Source organism: Homo sapiens, chromosome 7 (genome assembly GCF_000001405.40).
Source record: "Homo sapiens chromosome 7, GRCh38.p14 Primary Assembly".
Taxonomy (NCBI): domain Eukaryota; kingdom Metazoa; phylum Chordata; class Mammalia; order Primates; family Hominidae; genus Homo; species Homo sapiens.
Window position 1 is genome coordinate 29,458,162 of NC_000007.14, and position 21,298 is coordinate 29,479,459.

Consider the following 21,298-nt stretch of genomic DNA (forward strand, 5'->3'; position numbering starts at 1 on the left):
ATGCAGATACAGTGAGCTGTTTTCATAGGTGTGGTTAGGGAGATATGTTGTATAATTGAAGCCTAGGTCCCTATTTTCAGATGGGACAGATTCTAAAACTAGTGGGATATGCTGACTCCATTTGAATCTCTGAACTATGAGACAAGTTATACAACTAGATCATTGGTTTCCTAAGGGAATGAGACAGTAGCTGTTTGTATAAGGAGCATAGCTGTGCACACACACACACACACACACACACACACACACACACACACCCCATGCATTACAAATAGATGTAGAATTCTAATGTTAGCTGCCCTACCTCTGTTCTCCAATATTATATAATTATCTGTTTATGTGTCTCACCCCTGCCCCCAACTTTTTACTTCTCAAGGGCAAATGTATTCCCGGTGCCTGGAGTTAATGTGTGTGGAACATTTGAAGATGGAAAGTGGTCCTAGCTAAGTCCTCACTTTAGAAGTGAGGAAAGTGAGGGCCCAAATATATCAGATTACTTGGCCAAGGTTGCAGCAGTCAAGACACCAAGTGTGTATGTAATAAGCATATGACTGTTCGATCAAACTAAAGTATTATCCAAACGTCCTCTATCAAGCGTCTTAGTTTCCCACATTCTCTTGGCTATGTAAAAGCGTGCTTTAGTAGAGCAGACCCACCAAAGAAGATACCACATTTGGCTTTGGCCTTTCCCTTTACCTATCTCATCTGCAAAGTCCTTTCTGTAATGATCCCATGGTGTGATGGAATATCAGAATTCAGGAGCGGACAGATGCAATGCCCAGAAGATGAAATTCAACCAGTTAAGAACTCTGTTGCCTTGAATTTGACAGTGATCCTTTCACAAAGAAGTTTCCCTGGTTTTGAATTAAGTTACACTAAACTAGCAGGGACCAGTTCCTGGTTCCCTTTTATGTAGTTTCAGATTTTCTCGGGAATCCTTTGGTATTCTGTGCTATGCAGTACACCTCGCCAGGAACGCGGTGGGTCAGGGGTCAGATTCTCCCGCTCGGAAGGCTATGAAAGGCTCAAGTTCACACGGTTTAACTTTTTAAAGTTCTCATGTGTCTTTCCAAAGACTTGTAGGATTTTGGAAAAACTGTCATGTTTCTTCCCTCCTGTGTTTTCATCCTTACTTCTTTCTCCTTTGCCACTAATTCTCTTTCTCTCACTATTCCTCCCTGTCCTTTGTTTTCCCCATGTCATTTGGAATTTTCCTTTTACTGTTGAAAGGTGGATGCAGCCCTGGAGGAATCAGGGTAAGGTCATGCCGGCTGGGCCTTCTCCCTAGTTCGGATGAGACTTTCCGAGCTCGCCTCCCCTGCAGGTTGTTCATGAGATAAAACCTCCGTGGGTCAGGTGGAGAGCCCACAGTTGCCTCAAGATGCAATACAACATCTGTTTCATTGTCCAGGGTGGGGAAGGAACAGATAATTCTCTTTTGAGGTCAAGCAGCAATTCCAGGAGCTGACCCAGCCTCACAGAGCAGCCCATAGCAGCAGGTGGGGGCCTCTGTTACGACAGCCACCTTCACCGCAGGCCAGGTGTGACATCAGCCTGCACCCTAGCAGGGCTCCTTGTCTCCCCCTCTCCTCCCTGCATGGCAGGCTCAGGTATCTAAGAAAGCAAGAACATGACTCCAGCAAACCCACAAGTGGTAGAAGAAGCCCGAAAAGCTTGTCTATCGTTACCATTAGAAACCAGGCAACCACAAGAAGAGGCAGAGAAGAGGAAAGAGGAGCAGGACGGGGAGGAGGCATCGAGACAATAGAATACAATAGGCGTTCTCTGCCTCCCCCTCTGCCACTCAGGCAAGTCAGGCGTGGCTGCCCCTTTCCAAGGTGGCAGCCACAAACTCAGTTCTGATCCTTATGTTCTTCTAAAGCAAATTCCCCTTAGCATATGTACATTGAATCACCAGATTAAAATATTGCTACCTGGCTTTCACCCCCAGAGATTCTGATTTAATTGATCTGGGGTACCAAGTAGACTTCTGGATTTTTAAAGCCCCCTGAGCAATTCTAATGTGGAATAAAATTAGGGAACCACTGCATTATTGGCCAGATAATTCCTAGGTCCCATGCCCCACCCGCCCTCAAATAGAGCTTGCCACAGGCTCCACTTTAAGAGGGCAAGGGCAAACCCATCACCCTTTTGTAACAGTAGAAATTTGGGGGCAAATTCAGACCCATCCAACATTTATTGAGCACCTACTACTTGCCATGCCCTGGATTCGTGCCTCCCTATGTATTATCTGGCTTAGCCAGCAGGGAGCTTCTAAGAGGGTACCCTTCTAAAGGCAAAGCGCTGTCTTGAGGTGTAAATACAAACTGTCTGGTCTTTATGTTCTGTGGCTTTCTAATTCATAGATGTTCCTCGGACAAAGGATGTTTCACAGGTGCCAAGAGAGGATGGTTTTAAAAGGCCAGAGGTCATGAGGCAAGTGTTGGAAGAGGCAAAGATCTGAGGGGCTCTGATTTGGCTTCAGGACCTTTCATTAGAGCATCAGTAATTCTTAGAGTCCAGAATCTTTCCAGGTGTGGCTTCTTTGGACAGAGCCATCTCTTGGTATCGGAGGGAAGCAAATGGCTGCTAGTGGAGGGAACAGAGCCCTGTCCTTGGCTGCATAGGCACAGGGAAGCAGAACAGCGGATCGGGCTTCTGGAAGCCTTGTTCTGAGGCAACTCCTTTGCTACCAATTTGTTTGGGGACTTTAGACAAACCACCCGCTTCTCTGGGCCTCAGTTTCCTCATCTGTAAGATGAGAGGGTTGCTTAGATAGATGCTTAAAAGAAATAGTAATTGGTCTTGTCTCACGATGTTGTTCCACATCACAATAATGATTTTCTCTACTTTGTGCTGTGTAGCATAAATGGTTATCATCAATTCTATTCTCATGTAGGGTAACTGAAGCCATTCTCCTCCATCTGTATTCCTGGCCAAAGTAATAAATGGCAGGGAAACCACATGTTTTGAGCAACCAATCAAGTATGTATTTCTCAAGGACATGCCCTTAGTTTACTCATTTCTCTATTCATTTAGAAACATGTAATGTATGCTACACAGCCAGGCAGTGTGCTAAAGACAGGAATACAGTGATTAGCAAGACAGTCACCACCATGTAGAACTTAGGGTGAATAGAGCCAAAAGAAAGAGTGGGAGACCCAGGGGAGGATGGAGGGGTGACTAGGAGTTAACCAGATGAACAAAGAAGGATGATATCAGATGAGATGGACTGTATTCTAGGAAGGTCCAAGTTGTTAGAGTAATGGTCCCAACTTACTGGGATTTTATACACATACAAACTCAAAATTTAAGCTATATACTGAGCAGAAGACTTGTTTATTTTCAGGCAATAAATGTTTATATTCTCGGGATCTGGAGAATAGCCAAAGACTAAAAAATAGGCCTAGAGGAAGGGGCCTTCATGTTTCATGTGTGAAGCACAGTAATGATGAACAGCAAAGCTTTAGAGATGTCAGACTTCCTAGGCTGCCAACACTTCTTCTAGTCTATGAACTACCTTAAATGAGAACAGAGGTTAGGTATTATTTCACTCTGGATGCCCAGAGCCTAATACAGAACCTGACACATAGGAATTGTCCACTTAATGTTGCTTGATTGTCTGACTGGTTTGTTGGTTAACTGGTTGGTTCATTGGATGGATGGATGGATGGATGGATGGATGGATGGATGGATGGATGGATGGATGGAAGGAAGAGAGAGGATGCAAAGTGCCTACAGCAGTGTCTCATACATACATATAATAAATTGTAACTGTATATTTCTGTCATAAAAAATACCTTTTTTGTCATATACACTGAAACATTTGTGTCTATAAATTCCCATTCATTTAACCTATTTTAATATTGTACTTGGAACAGTGTTTTTCTCATAATAGAAAAAATATAGTCATTGTTTCACACGCATTTTGTTTGTGCAGGAAGCCAAAATACAAATGCATTCTGCGTAAAACTTAGTGTCATATATAACACTGCTGAGCATTAATTCTTTTTTAAAAACTTGATGAGTTTGCATAAACCTGAACAAACATATGTGCTTGGTCCTCAAGGACATTAGCTTTTTCACTTCAGGAGTGGAAAGGGCTGCTATAGACCATATCACCAAAACCTGCTTTGGACACTATTGCTGAATGACAAGCCGCCTCAAAGCTTAGTAGTATAAAATATCCATTGTCTTACGGTTGCATGTTCTGTTGGGTCAGAAATTAGAACAGAGTACAGCAGGGATGGCTTGCTTCTGCTTCATCCTGTCTGAGGCTTCATCTGAGAAGACTCAAAGTCTTGAGGGGAACTCAACATCTGGGGGCTGGAATCATTGGGCATCTCCTTCATTCACACATTTGGCACCTGAGCTGGGAAGACTCTCACACACTGATGTTAGCTAGATTGTCAATCAGAGTGCCTGCATGAGGCCTCTCCATGCAGCTTATGCTTCCCCCAAACATGGCAGCCTTGGGATAGTTGAACTTTTTGCATAACAGCTCATGGCTCCAATGCAAAGATGCCAGTGGACAAGGAAGAAGCTTCATTGCCTTTTATGACCCAGCCTCAGGCATCACATAGCATTTCCTCCATCATATTCTTTTTTTTTAAATTATTATACTTTAAGTTTTAGGGTATATGTGCACAACGTGCAGGTTTGTTACATATGTATACATGTGCCATGTTGGTGTGCTGCACCCAATAACTCGTCATTTAGCATTAGGTATATCTCCTAATGCCATCCCTCCCCCCTCCCCCCACCCCACATTAGTTGAAGTAAGTTACAAGTTTATCCGGGTTCCCAAGGAAGAGACCTACCTCCCCACTCCACCTTGAACAGAGGAATGTAAAAGAGTTTTACAGCCATTTAGAAAACCCCGCATCCCCAGTTTTTAGAAACTGAGCCCTAGAATTCCAACACAAGGAAATCTCACCTTATTTCATTGCCCTTTGAGCATCATTTTCATTAATACCTAGCATTTCTTTTTGTGAGGGAAGAACCAGGTCCCCAGCCTCCCAATACACCTAGAATGTGCTGGCAACATTGTGGCAAGAAGATGCTTCCTTCTTTTTCTGAATTTAATGCTTCTCTTGGATTATGCCAATTTTGAGAGGAACCCTTGGCTACCAGCTAAACCAGCGGCAGTGAACTTTCCTAATGGAGCAACAGAGCCCATGTAAGGAAACCAGGGCAAAGCAGTTGACCACAGAGTAACCACCTGCAACCACACAAGTATGCCCAAAGCAGTGATAGCCACCATGCTTCCACCCACCCCACAGACACTCTTTCTCCTTAGGGTCTCGGCTTTTGTGCTTTTACCAGAGCGCAACAGTTTTCTGGAAGTGCTCAGGGCTATGGGTAAAAGGGCAGTTTCCTGTGGACTCAGATTGTTTAAGATGTCATTTGGGGGTAAAGGACTGTTTAAAGAGATGGTTTCTTATCCATCAGATGGCTTTAGAAAATAAGGTGGGTGGATATTAACACTTTGGGTGAGGGCCTGGAAATCTTGGGACTTTAGACTCTCTGGCACCAGGGAGTTAAACAGGTCACAATGTGGAATGCTGGGATTCAGATGACACCCTGGGCTCTGACTAGCAAGACATCATAGCAGCTCTGAGGGGCCCACAAGAACTAGAGATGTGTCCAAGCTCTGCTGGTGTATAGATGTGGAACTGAGTGCCCAGCAGTGGTGCCTCCTGCCCTGCCTGCCTGCCTGGCACCGACATGGCTGAATTGTACCTTATGCCATCGGGTGTGGCCAGTAATCCTGTGCTTACTTTGACTGGCATTGCCCCCTCCACTGGCCCTGAATGACTCACCTCATAGAAGAAAAAGGATACATAACAACCTTTTCCACTCCCCACAGTGTCACCCAGGACTTGTTGACAGGACCAACACCAGTCTTCTTATGTGTGCATTGTTCAGGGTACAGCAGGATGGCTAGCTAAGCTTATTTAAAGCATAGTTACGATTAATCATAATCATAGCTGACCTTTATTGAGCCCTTATTTTGTTTTGGGCACTAGAAACTATGTGTATTGCCTGTTTCAATCAACACAACAATCCTGAGGTATCAAGTATTAGTTTCCCGGACATTAGTACTGGTAGGTATTCATTGGCCTTGCAAATAGTTTGGAAAATGCTGGTTGTTCTAAAACAGTGACATGCCTGTAATCCTCCAAGAAAGTGATATATGTTGACTTTTTGAATTGTATTTAATCACCGAGCAACTAATATTTTAAGGAACATGAATTTGAAACCTGACTGGATGATATAGAAGTGGGTCTGCGTAAAGGTTGATAGGTGCAGCAAACCACCATGGCACACGTTTACCTATGTCACAAACCTGCACATTCTGCACACGTATCCTGGAGCTTATTTTAAAAAAGTGGATTTTCATAAAATATGCTTAGTGTCCTATGAGTAGTCTAAGAACCATTGGAACTAGGTGTAGTCTAAAGCATCAGGGTTGGATTTGGTGTGACTGCCTTTGAAAATGGCTACTCATGATACACCCAGGTTGGCCAGGTGACTCCTGAATGTAGCTGATGGTTTGTGCTTAGAAATGTGTCCTCTGCTTCATAACTCTCAAAGAAGCCTGCTGCATCACAGGAACAGGGAGCTCCATCTGCTTCCAGCACCCAGTTACATGTGCAAGGTGAGGAAGCTGAATGTGAAGGTTTTGAGCCCATGGAGACGTTCACAGGCTGCCCTGCTGTTGTTTCCCACATTCTCCAGGAGTATGGGAGGCTCTTTCCTGAGTGCAATGCCAGATGGAGCCCAGGATCAAAGCCGCCAGCCGTGTTTTCATCCCCAGAACCAATCTAAGCTACAACCTAATCCTTCATTCTGTTTGTTTTTATAAATTCACATCCTAAAACACATCCCCTTCTTGCCTTTTTTCCTTCTGATATCATCAGAATATTTCAGGACACAGCCTGCATTTACACATCTTTCATGCAACTTCATGTTTATTCTGCCAAGTGCCTCTGAAGAACTGCCATTTGTGATTAAAATCCTTCCAGCTTCATCTTAGCTTTCTAGTGATTCTGATCAAATTAAAATGATTTTATGTTTAGGAATTGTGGCAGGTCAGAGAGGGATTTCTTATTGTATTAAATGAAGGAAATGTAGTCTTAGCTAAACTCAAATGTCAACACCTTCTTAAGATTATGCTTTACTTTGAAAACATCATCTGCATAATCATGAAAGTTTATTCATTAAATTACACATGCACACACCTATATAAAATGGTGCCAGCTGTAGATCTGAGCAATATCCAACTTACAACTTAAGTTGCACTTTTCATCCTCTGAGGAACCTGCTATTACAATACACATCTCACATTGAGGAAATGAGGCACAAAGAGGTTAAATAACTTGGCACAAGGTCACCCAGTTATGAAGGGTGGAAGCAGGAATGTTAACCTGGACAGCTTACTTAGCTCCAGAGTCTTCCTAACAAGAAATTCTTAGCAAACAAAAACTTGTCACCATTTTTAGAGTTAATTGCCATTTCTATGACCACAGGTTTGATAAGCACACTGCATTTCCAACTCAAATTGCACATGGCCAATTACAGTGCCGACTTCTTACACAACTCTTCAGGAGATGGCTGGAAACCTTCCATTATTGATAAAAAATTTTAAATGGAGCCATGTTATTATAAGACTGAAGTAAACAAAAATTAAACTAGAAAACTTTTGGGTTATGTAAAATGGAAGCTCCTCCATTCCAAACCATTATTGAAATATTACAGGCCGAGCGCAGTGGCTCACGCCTGTGATCCCAGCACTTTGGGAGGCTCAGGTGGGCAGATCACTTGAGGTCAAGAGTTCGAGACCAGCCTGGCCAACATGGTGAAACCCCGTCTCTATTAAAAATATGAAAATTAGCAAGGTGTTGGGGGTGCACCTGTATCCCAGCCACTCAGGAGGCTGAGGCACAAGAATCGCTTGAACCCCAGAGGCAGAGGTTGCAGTAAGCCAAGTTTGCGCCACTGCACTCCAGCCTGGGAGACAGAGTGAAATTGTCAAAATAAAGAGAGAAAGAGAGAGAGGAAGAGAGGAAGGAAGGAAGGAAGGAAAGAAAGATTGGTTACCAAAGCTAAAATTATCATAGCTATACTCTACATATTGAGACGTAATTTTCTGGGTGTAGATAAATTTATTTGGAGCGAATCTATGTTATATGAACATGATAATATTCATTATTCTTTTATCCCCTGGCCTTTCAAATAATAATATATATGATTAGAGCAGCATGATACAGTATTTTTACTTTAAAACTTTTAGTTCTCTTGGCTAAAGATGAAAATTTCTTCAGGGATTTAACCTAAATCATGTTTGTACATGTCATAGTGATCTCTCTTGCATTTTGGAATGATTTTCATTTCTATCAATAGAGGCCCTAAAATGGCTCAGTTTAAGTCCCACAGAAAGTGAATCCTTCCTTAATACCTGCTAGATTAAGAATTTTCATTTCCAATAAAGTTACTTAACCACTTGTTTTGCACATCTGAGAGTTTCTGCAAATGTATCCCAGCTGTGAGATCTAGATCACAAAAGACTCTGATACTTTAGATCTATTCAGTTTCTAGTTTTGTTTGAAACTTGCCTAATTTTTTCCCTAAGGGAAACATTTTCTCCTAGTTCAAATACAAAACAAAACTGGGAAAAAATATTTTGTTTTTCTGTGGCAAAGTTTTTCTTTTTTTCTCATACCATTTATAAATGTAATATAATTAAAGAAGTTTTAAAAGATAAAAAAAGGTAGACATTGGTCTGTTTCCTTACAATGATTTTCTATGCACTGGGATTTTTTAAATATACCTGTAAGCATAGTATAGTTATCATTTTGTATTCTACATTTTTTTATGAAGCATATTAAAGCCATATTATTGTACACTCTTCACAAGCATCATTTTTATTGTTGCATGAGTGTCATATGTACGTAGCTATTTCCTGATGTTAGAGCGTGCACAATATATTCCATTTTTCACATTAGAAATCATGTTGCTATAAACCATCTCCTTAGGATAGATTCTTAGAAATTGAGTTACTGAATCTTAAAGGATATTAATATTTTGAAACTCTTTATCCACATGGCCAAATTACTTCCTAAGATGATTTTAACAGAGTACACTGTCTGGCAATTTCCTGCCTGTGTTTGATATGCGTGTTTGTGTGTAGCGGGTGGGGTAGGGCATGTTGTTTAACTTGTGCAATGTGGGAGAGCATGGATATGGATCAGATCTGTTGTTGCATAGGGGAAAGAGCTTGGTTCAAGCTAGTTCAAGGACCTGACTTTTTGTCCTGACTCTACAACTAACTGGCTGTGAGAACCTGGGCAAATCAGCAGGAGGTTTGCAGACACACGCATTTATCCATAAACCTTTGCTAAGTGCTTTTTATGTTTCTTGGTACCAAAGAGATTAGAAAATGAAGTCCAGGGTTCTTAGGATATTACACTCTAGTGGGGGACAGATAAGTGGAGGCAGAATCACATGAAGTTTAAGAGAATGAACTCTGGAAGTAGCTTGCTCTGGGTTCAATTCCTAGTTATTAGCTGTGCAAGCTTGCATAGTGAGAAGTCTCTTAAGCTCAGCTTCCTCATATCTGAAATGAGGGTAATAATACCAGTGGCATAGGATGGTTGTGCAGATAAATGAGAAAATGGTTAACCTGCCTGGCACAACGTGAGCTCAATAATTGTTAGGTTTTTTCTTTTTTTCTGTTTTGTTGCTGATACGATTCTAATAAGATTTAGAAACTACCACTATGTTTTAAGTGGTAGGGAGCATGTGTGCTGCTTCTTCACAAAAGAATATCATGTCTTTGCAGCATGGGTCTTGGGTTCTGAGAATTGATAACATGTCGGGGAGTAGGAGCAGGTATAGGTCATTATAGGTCATATCTCAGGGGATTTTCAGCTCCAATGGGCCGCCATGACATCTTCACAGAAACCAAACGGACCCGCCCCCCCCCCCCCCCGCCCGACTACCCAAAATTTTGTTTGGTGTTGAGATTGATGATGCCATACTTCCACCAAAAGGATGTACAAAGTTTTATTGTTCACATGATGTGACTTTCTGGGGGAAGCAGGACTGACCCCCAGGCAGGTCCATAAAATGGCTTGAGAGAGCTGGGACTGGCTCAGCGTTCTGTGGTGGTTAGGAGGCGGAGCTGGGTAAGTGTTCTCATGCCAGCAGGGGTTGCATGGTTTGAACTTCCACCAACACCAAGGGAGGGAGTGCACTGGCCTTGTTCTTGACTTGCAATCAGTAAGCAGTCAAACAATAAAAATGGAGTCAGACTCTTTATTATGTGGGGTGTGGTTTTATGATGGACAAGGGAAATCTCAGTAGCTTTCTTTCTTTCTTAAAAGGAGAAACAAGCCAACTCTCTGGATCCCACCTGTTCCTACTCTTTTTACTGCAGTGCTTGGCTCCCCGGTACTCCCAGCACTGGCTGTACAGTAGTCTCTGATCCAAGTGCTCTTCTCCCATTCTTAAAACACGTGCAATCAGATTCCCCCGACTGCTGCTGGAAACTGCTCCTGTCAAGATGATCACTTACTTTCATATTGCTAACCCCTGTGGTCCTTTCTCACTCCCCATCATACCTATCCTGTGAGCGTTAGCTTTCCTTGTCTTTCTTTGTGACTAGTTCTCAATTTTCTGACCCCTTAATGATTGGAGTGTCCCAGAACCTAGTCCTGGGGTCTCTGCTCTTCTCTATCTGCACTAACTCTCTTCCTCTAAAATCCATCTACCCATAAGTAGATTTCTGGCATCTGTCTCTTCAGGAACCTCAGGCTTGTAAGTCCAACTGCCTCAATGTTCCTATACCCAAAATGGAGCAGCTGGCCTTCTCTTTCACTCTTGCTCCTCCTGGAGTCTTCTTCATCTCATTTAATGGAAACTTCATCTGTCTAGCTGCTCGTGCCCAAAACTGCACCATTACCTGGAATTCTTTCTTTCATGTGCACTTCACATCCAACCTGTCAGCTAATCCTGTAGACTTTACCTTGAAACAATATCCAGATTCTGGCCATTCCTTATCACCTCCACTGCTCCCACCCTCATCCAAGCCACTGTCTATCCTTTAGCTGAATTTCTGCCATAGCCTTTAGCTGATGTTCCTGCATGTACTTTAGCCCCCCTACAGTCATCAACACAGCAGGCAGAGCAATGCTTTTGTAAAGTCATTCAGATGATACCACAGCTCTGTTCAGTACTCTGCAGTGGCTGCTCACGTCACTCAGAGTGAAAGTGGGAGTCCCATTCCTTCCCAGAAGGCCCTAGGTCCCTTACCTCACCTTCTAGCACCTACCACTCTAGCTGTTCCTGATCTTTGCTATTTCTGGAGCCTACCATGCTTGCTCCTATTTCATGGCCTTGCATGTGCTGTACCCTCTGCCTGGAATGTTCTTCCTCCAGATGTCAGCATGGCTCACCTATCACCTCCGGCCCGTATTTGCCCAAATTTCCAAATGTCACCTTCTCATGAGACCTTTTCTGACCACCTTGATTTAAGTTGTAACCTCCCTCTCACTTCCTATCCTTGTTCTTGCTTTGTTTTTCTTCATGGTTCCCAACACTTTTTAAAAGAATATACAATGTACTTCTTAGTTTTGTTTGTTGTCTACTCTCTTAGAGTGGTTGTTCCCTGTTCTATCTCACTGGCCTAATACAGTGCCTGATAAATAATAGATGCTCAATAATTATTTGCTGAAATAAGGAAGGAAGAGAGAAAGGAAGGAAGCAAGGAAAGAAGGGAGGGAGGGTAAGAGGGAGAGAAGGAAGGAAGGAGCTATGTTTGCAACATATCCAAGAATAATTGTATTGCATTAAAACAGAGCATAGGCCAAATTGCATGTGGTCATTTCAGACTGAACTGTGTTCCCCTGGAATATTTACACTTGTTCATTAGCATGACAGTCTCTTTTCCAGAGCAGGGAGTGGCTTGAGAGGTGTCTGCATCAATCACACACACTCTGACATTCCATTTGGGAAGGGACAACACAGTCCTACGCTTGGTAGAGCTAGTCTTCCCAAACACAAATACAAGGACCAATTGTAGATTTTGGAAATCCCAGCCACCACTCACACAGGAGACCAGAAATAAACTTAGATTATCTTTGGAATGTGTCAACATCCATGTTTCAGGACTACTGCATTCTTAAATATCCCCAAGAACTATATTGAGCAGTATCAGCTGCACAGCTGTGAGTGGCGCCAAGGACTATTTTGTTTGGGTGATTGTTCACTGTAAAAAGCACAGTAGGGATTGGAGATATTTTTATTTGTGAAATTTTGAAAACCTGTTTCATAGGTATCTTGGTTGTTTTTAACATGGGGCAGTTCACATGGAGAAAACAACCGGTTAATTTGATTTTTTTTTCTGTAGATAAAGGTGCACCTTACTCCAACTTCTGACCACAGAACCTGGTAAAGGAGTAGCTGGAGGCTATGTTTGGTACATTCTGTAGTGCTGCTTTGCAAATTGCCATAATTTGGACAAGAAAGTAGTGGACAAGAAAATGCAATTTGACAAATGTCTGGCCTTTCGCAGGGATTTCCCAGGCTCCCCTGAGTGAGCGGAGCTTGAGAAAGACACCCAACATCAATATTGCAGTTTGATGCCATAAGCTAGAAATTGAGTGTCTTGACTTTTGTAGGAAAACCCACATGTCAGTCATTTGGGGCACTTACTTCTTTGGCCAGAAGTGGGGAGTTGCGTCATATATCAGCAAGGAAAATACAGAGAAAAGCAAATGAATATGGAATATGAGAAGAAAGTCATCTAGGGCAAGAAGGAAGATAGTAGCTGGGAACTTCGTAATAGCTGCTTCTCCCTTAGGTTTTACACTATTTACTTGGATCTTAGTTTTACAAAAGTTTTAAGGAGTTTGATTTAACAAATGTTCCATTCTCTCAAGAATAACCCTACCATACTTTCTAAAGTTTAGCATTTGAGAAATTGGACTAAGACTTTTAAAGTTCGTATTTAAGGAAATGGATTACTCTGATGGTAAAACATGTTGTTGTTAATATTGACTCTCTCAAAAACTGCATACAAAACAAAACAAAAAAGCAAATAATAACAATGACGTGTTGAAATGCGCGAGATCCTTAATGCAACACAAAGTCTTCCTCTATGAGGTGGAGTATCTTTTATTTCTATATCTAAAAAGTCTGTGAGAAACATCAGAAATTAGCCACAATTTTTGACATCAGTCTCAGCAGAACAGCTGGTGGTATCATGTGGGAAGGACAGCAACTGTAGCATTGCACGATCAGCCAACCCAGGAAGCATCAGGTTATTTATTTGCTGCTAAACAAGGTACTTTGGTCCATTTCAGCGCACATACAGGCCTTTCAGGTTGGGTGAACGGTGACTGTTTTGAATGAGGCAAAATTGTATTCTAGGAGGGGCAGTAAGACTGTTCCTTCGGCACTTCTGTGTGTCTCTCACATCGAGAGTCGCCATCTGTCCCTGGAGAATAATCGGCGTGGCAGCTGGGCATGGTGTGTCATCAGAGACAAGGAACCTTGTCTCAGATCAGAAGGCAGCAGGTTTGGAGGTCAGCAGCAGTTTTAGGACTGAGCCAGGTTAATCGTTGACACCTGATGCTTAAATGGCCTCAAATAAAACCAGGACTATACAGCTTGAACTAGCCCAATTGCAGGAAAGACGGCAGGTCCCACCCTGATCTTTCTCATTTCTTTGGCGCCATGGCAATGTGTTTGCGTTTAGTTATATGTCTTTGTTGTCTTCCTCCTCTTTCAGGACTGAAAACCATAAACAAAGAATATAACAAACAGGGCAATTCTTAGGAAAGGCAAGGATGATTCATTTGGCAGTATGCAAGAGGGTTCAAAGTACATAGGATCAAGCAGGCTGGGTTGATAAAAGATAACCACCCCTTTGATTATCATTCGGCAATTGGAGCTTATTTCACTTAGCATTTCTAGTTTTTTCTCTTCCCAAAAGGAATAGAGAACCAGCTCCACAATGCCATAGCAAAAAACCAGAGTGGACATCACCGCACCTCCTTATCCACCAGTCCCCTCAAAATCCCCATAGAAGCTTTTCAAAACAAAATACACACACACACACACACACACACACGCACACACACACATTAGACACAGAAATAGGTAGTAGGCATACCCTTAGTATACCACCAACCAACATTAAAAGTATTTTAGTGTGACCCACAGAGCGTGAAAACAAAGGAAAGTGTAGATTTCCCACACCATCCAGGGCTGTACGAATGGCTGCAGCATTTTGCTGCGTGTTCCTGGATCTGGGCAGGATTTAACATTTTGTGGCTTTGGGGAAATAACGGGACACCCAGGGTCATCACCCAACACCAGTACCCCAGACATATGTTCAGGGAATGAGCCAATGGGCCAAGGGAAAAAAAAAGAGCATGCTAACTCTTCATAAAAGTCGAAATCATTTCTGATGGAAGGAAAGGAAGACAGAGAGCTGCTGAAAAATGGGCATGTTTTTTTTTTCCTGCAACAGAACTGTCCTGAATGTCAAGCCAATGTTGGCATCATGGTAGTCACCAGAGAAGAGTTAATAGAACTCTTCTTTTATAGGTAGGTTAAAAATAATTTTTCTGCTTTAGATGTTTGTAAAATTCCTCTAGGAACAGAGAGGAGGAATGAGTCTTTGTGTCAGTGGGCTGTGGGCAGCCAGCACCCCCAGTCTGCCACACATGTGGTGCCAGGGATTTCCATGGAAAGAACCTCAGGAGACCTGATTCTGGGCCTGTTTCATAAGGCTAGCAGGCTAGTGAGGGCCCTAGGTCATAATTTTAAAATCATACTAATATACATCCAGGTGTGTGTATACATTCTCAGGGTAGCAGGAAGAAAGTGGTGGCAAGCGAGGCTGGAAAGGTGGCAGGGGCCAGACCCCACAAGCCCCTGCAGGGCATGGTATGGATTTTTGCCTTTGCCTTAAATCGTCTTTGGAGGTTTTAAGTGGCATGATGGGAGGTGGGTGTGGGGTGAGCATGAGCAGAAACATGATCATATTTTGTGTTTGAAACAACGTTAATTCCTTTGGAGGGGATTTAGTCAATAGCACTGACTACGTTCATACTTTCATCTTTTCTGGCAATCCCCTTGAACTGAAGCACTTGAGATTAGTGTGGTCAGTCTCAATTCTAAGAGCACATTACAATCCCCTGGAGGATTTTTACAGCCCAGCCCCCATCTCCAGAAATTTGGATTTAATTGGGCAGAGGTAGAGCTTGAGCATGGGGTGTTTGTGTGTGTGTGTTTGTGTTTTTTTTTTTTTGTGTGTGTGTGTGTGTGTGTGTGTTCTAATTATCAGGCAAGGCTGCGACCCACAGGTTCAGTGGAAAGATAAAATTGGAGTCCTCAAAGTGTGGCCCCGAGACGAGCAACATCACCATCACCTGTGTACCGATCAGAAATGCAGATTCTCTGGCCTGATCTCATACTGACTGAACCAGAAACTCTGGGGCTCCATATGTTTTAAGAAGCCCTCCGGGGGTTCTGATGCCTGCAGGTATAAGGCAGGAGAAGCTGGAGTCTGGATCTGCTTCCAGATTTAGTTGTAGAATAGCTCTTTGATAAGAGGTAATTGTGGAACCTCTCTGGCCCTTGGTCTCTTCCCCTGTAAAAGGTGGAGGAGGGATTAGACAATCTCAATGGTTAAGAATTTATCATCCATGCACACTAAATCTAATAAGAGTTTTATAATATACTTTAAAAATCATTTTTATATAATGGAATAAGAACATAGTCATTGTAGGAAACTCAAAAAAAAATGCAAAGAATATAGAAGAAAATAAATGTCAATTAAAATTTTTCCACCCAGAAGTAACTGTTGCTTATCTTCAGCAGTTTGAGTGAATGTATTTTGAATATATTTTGGTGTGTTTTCTTCTGATATTTTCTGTGCATACCTACTTACAAATCTGGGAATTATACTATACATGGCTCAGGAGCCTACTTCTCACCTAACATTATACCAGAGGCAAATCTTCTCATCATTAAATGTTCTTTTAATTGTCTTTGTTAATGTCTACATAATACCCTATTACATTTTATGCCATAATTTATTTAACTTTTCCCCTATATTGACTGTTTAGGCTTTTTCACATTTCTTGATATTGTTTTGATGAATATCTGTATCTCTATATCTATCCATCTATCTAGATCTTAGTCTGAAGACCTTTTCAAGAGAATCCTAGAAATAGAATAATTGGATCAATGCACATGAACTTTTCCCGGCTTTTGATCCATCTCCAACTTTTTTTTTCCAGACACAGGCCAGTTCACACAAACACCAGTGGGATATTAAAGAACTCTCCTCACCACACCCTCATCATCATTCGTAATATTGATTTTCATTTCATGCACTGCCATGAAGCAGAGAAGGCTGCAACAGCAGGACAGTGTTTGGAATAGGAGTATAGCTCGGGCAGTCAACACCTAAGGAAGATTCAGACTCAATAAACAGAACTGTAGAGCTATCAGCAGCACAGACACTGTGGTTGGAATACAGGGAGACATACAGGACCAATGATGACATTTTCAAAGAGCCCTCCTTAAAATGTAGCACTGGAATTTACTTGAAGTTTGTGGAAAGGTTGTGGATTGGTGGCAAATCACCTTCTCTAGAAATTGGTACTGATAAAGCACAATGTTGTGCTCCCTAGAAGCTGAGAGGTGGTCCTGACTGAAGCCAGGTGGAGGAGGAGCCATTGCTTAGATGAACCTCTAAGGTCCCTTCTGGGCTTATGATGCTAGGTTATTAGAGCCAGTGTAGTGAGAGGGGTATTTGTCTTTCTTCTACCATTCCTTTCCTGGGCACTTTGTATGTCCACAGACACCCAAAAGGGCTCCATTTTCCCAGGTCTTCCTGCCCATTGACCCACCCTTTCCTCCTTGTCTATATCTGACAACCTCTCATTGCCTTCTCGTTACTTGATTCCTTCTTGGATCCAGGATCCTAATTGTAGAGAGAAAGAAGAACAGTGAGAGGGCTTAGAAAATAGAATCCCAACCTTTATTCATCAAAAAAAGAAGAAAAAAAAGAAGTGGTGAGCTTATGTCACCATTTATTTATAGCCCCACCTACTTCCAGAAGTATCTTAAGTGGTACCTGCTTTCACAGTGGGCTCAGGGAGAACTAAAGTCTCCTATTTAAAAACCAGTTCAGGGAACACCAGACCTGCTAGTCGTTGACAGACTATAATGGGGAAGAGAGTAATTCAAGCATTCAACCACTGCATATTTTTTAATGTAAGTATTATGGGGATGAGAGACTGTTTAAACAATATTTAAAAGCATAGATTTAGTGTATACCCAAAAGAATTGAAAACAAGCGTTCAAACAAAACTTGTATGAGGATATTCTTAGTAGCATGGTTCACAATTAGCCAAAAGGTGAAAACAGTCTAAATGTCCATCAACTGATAAATGGAAATGAAGTGTGGTATATCCATACAATGGATTGTTATTCAGCAACAAAAAGGAATGAAGTACTGATACATGCCACAGCATAAATGCACCTTGAAACATGCTAAGTGAAATATCTAAAGAAAAAAGAAGCAGCCAGATATCAAAACCCATATATTGTACGATTCCCTTTATACAAAATATCCAGAATAGGCAAATTCATAGAGACAGAAAGCAGATTGGTGTTTGCCAGAGGTTGGGAGGAGAAGAGAATGAGCAGTGGTACTGATGGGTACAGGGTTTCATTTTGGGGTGATGAAATATTCTGGAACTAGGTAGTGGTGATTGTTGCAGAACATTGTAAATGCATTAAATGCCATTGGATTTTACATTTTTAAATGGTTAAAATGGTAAATTTTATGTTAAGTGTAGTAGAAGGAAAGACACTTGTTCTTCAGGGCTTTGAGGAAAGATAGGCTCAGTTAGTTGTGCCTATATTCTACCACTTACCAGCTATGTGGCCATGGGCAAGTCACTTAAACTCTCAGCTTCCATTTCCTTATCTGTAAAATAAGGGTAATTATAACAGTACCTACCTCGTAGGGTTTTAAATCTTAAATGAGTCAAAATATGCAAAGTGGGCCGGGTGCCATGGCTCACACTTGTAATCCTAGCACTTTGGGAGAACAAGGTGGGTGGATCACCTGAGGTCAGGAGTTTGAAACCAGCCTGGCCAACATGGTGAAACCCCATCTCTACTAAAAATACAAAAATTTGCCAGGCACAGTGGCACGTGCCTATAGTCCCAGGTACTTGGGAGTCTGACGCAAGAGAATCACTTGAACCCGGGAGGCAGAGGTTGCAGTGAGCCGAGATCGCGCCATTGCACTCCAGCCTGGATGACAGAGCGAGAGTCCGTCTCAAAAAAAAAACCACCAATAAAAATTAAAAAAAAAAAATACACATATATATGCAAAGCGCTGAGTATAACACTTGGCACATAGTAAGCATGATATAAATATTAATATTTGTGTTATTAATTTAGCCCAGTATTCTCAACTGGAGACAGCGTTGCTTCCCAGGGAATATTTGGCCATGTCTGGAGACATTTTTTATTACATACTTAGGGGGAGGGGCTCTACTGGCATCTAGTGAATACAGGCAAAGAATGCCACTGAACATCCTGCAACGTACAGGACAGCCTCCCACAACAAAAGATTATCTGGCCCAAAAGACCATTCGTTCCAGTGAGAATCCCTGGTTCAAACAGAGCATGTAGGGAAATGTGCTTCATCTCATGAATGTATATATTAAAATAGGTCAGGTAGAAATTTTCATTAGAAGAAGACGGTCAGCAAATGTATTAAATGTCCCTTGTGTATAGAGAACACTATATTAGACATTACGGAGCATATAAAATAAGGCAAGGAGCTGTCCTTGAGGAGCTGAGATAAAAAAGAGCTCTGTGTGATGGGGTTATTTCAGAGAGAAGTTTTCGCCAAGAGATTACTGTAATCAGTTTTCCCTTAATAAGAGGGTGATCTGAGGTCACCCACACTGCTCCCAGTAATGCTCGCTCAAAGGCTAACACTTCTAGTCCCCTGTAAAGAAGCATCCTAAGGGAATAGTGTTGGTTCCTTCACTTGTCTGAATGTGTCTTGTGTTTGGGTAAATTCTATTGAATCAATAGCTGAAAAAGAAATCACTGTCACAAATGGAAATAAAAATTACTTGTTATACATACAAGCACAGACATGAAAAAATATTAAATCTCATTGTATTCAACCATCCATAGACCAAAAGGAGGAGATTCTTTTGGCCACTTTCCATGTAAATAGTTATTTGATCAGATTCTAAAAATGGTATATTCATGTCATTAGTCCAGTCCACATCACAGAATTTGCCCTTACACAAATGGCTCACCATCAAAAGGTCTCTCTCGCTTTGCTAGCAGTGAAGGTTGGGAAAGGACCCTTTTTGCTTCTCTCCATCTTTTTACCTGTAGACTAAGGATGGGAAGCCCTGCAAAGGTATGCCAAGCCTTCACTTAACGCCTGCCATAACAGTTGTCCTTCAGAATGGGACAGTGGGAAGAAGGGCCAAGGGGCCTGGTGAAGCCCATTAAGAGAGTAGACCCCTGGAGGGAACCTTGTCTTTGGAAGCTGAGGCAGTGGATGGGTGGTCACAGGAGGGACTGGAGACCCCGCACCATGCAGTCCTCTTTGCACACCTTCTTCCACAACCCTGGCTTCCTATATGTACATGTGCTTTCTAGCAACTTATATTTATTCAGTGTCTACTGTGGCAAGGACTCTTATTAGACACTTTTGTAGGGGGAAACAAAAGCAAATTAAGCATAGAGCATGTCACAGTGAGTTCTCAGTGTGGCAGGGATAAGAGCTGTTATAGTCACTATAATACAAGACAGAAAGTGACAAGTGCAATCAGAAAAATGTGGATAAAACACTATGGGATTTCAGAGGACACAGTTGGCCTTCAGTGGGGAGTCTGGGGAAGTCCTTTTGGAAAGGGTAGCATTAGAATCAGAATGTAAATGTTGGTGAAAATGTAGATATGTTGAAAGGATGCTAGAATATTCTAAAGAACAGAGCAAGCTACCAAGGTTAGCAGTTAAGTATGTCACAGAAGAGATGTTGTAGGATTTGTGGAGGGGAGTGTAGGGAAATAGGATGAGCTGGGTACATTAGGATCAGCTCATGAAAAACCAGCAATGCCAGGACACAGTTAAGCTATGGAGAAGCATGGGTGGATTAGGAAGATTGTTGTAGAGCGATGTGTAAGGTGGACTGGAGAGATAACAAGGGTCTGAGTTATGTGGGGAAAGAAAGGTAGGGAGAGGCCAGACTCAACCAGTATCTGAGATAAAGCATTTGTCAGGACTGATGGCAGGATGAGGCAGCACATGGGTGTACCGAGGCAGCAGGACACAGTGTTGAGGAGCATGGGCGCTGGACACAGATGCTTTGTGTTCTAGCCCTGGTTCTGCCACTTAAACTAGGCTGCATGTCCTTGGGCAAATTGCTTTACCTCTCAGTGCCTTGCTCTCTTCATCCAAAAGAATCGGGAATAAAAATCTTGCTCCTCACACCCATATGCTGCAGATTAAATGAGTTAAGTGCCTTTGACACATTCTAACGTCCTCTGACACAGCGTAAATTATTGTGCTCAATAGCTTAACGTAAAAATTGGGTGTTATTATTGAAGGTCATGAGAGGATGAAATGGGAGGATGAACTTTTGAACCAAGTTAAAATCATGGTGTTTACCAGGAATAAAGAATTACACATGGGAAGGAGTGATCTTTGGTTACTCTTCACAAGGCTGCTTGGAGGGACTGCAGCATGGGGCCCTTGTTTGAGTAGAGGACAGGACTGCCCATCTACATAAAGGCCCAGTTATCTAGATCTTGTTTTCTAGTTCCTAAAGCATTAATTTTACTGTCTGGCATTAGCTGCATTAATCTTCACCAATGAGTCAGGAGTACTCCCAAGACATCAGGATTTCCCTGCTTCTTTTCATGGGGAGACCTAGGATCAAAGAATTAGGGTCATGGGAGACCATCAAACAGATGATGCTTTTAAGAGGAAGGAGGCCATTTTCATAGGCTTGGGCACTAACAGAATGAACACTGAAGATGTTTTATTTAAAAGAAAAGCAATTATGATGTTTTGATTTTAGGTAAGGAATATTGTCTTGTCTGTGTGGGTTTGAGCAGAGTTTGTTCGTGCAGGAAGGACAGGAGAGACCGGGGAGTGTCCTGAGGCAAGACATCCTGCCTCTTATTCTGCAACTTTGCAGAACTCAGAGTGGAAAAGCTTTGCTCTC

The 21,298-nt window shown here is 42.1% G+C and overlaps 1 protein-coding gene across 13 annotated transcripts in view; it reads left to right on the top strand.

Annotated features, from left to right (window-relative positions):
• CHN2 (chimerin 2) overlaps positions 1–21,298 on the top strand; it is a 367,738-nt gene that overhangs the window by 311,571 nt on the left and 34,869 nt on the right. The gene's annotated exons all lie outside the window — the stretch shown is intronic.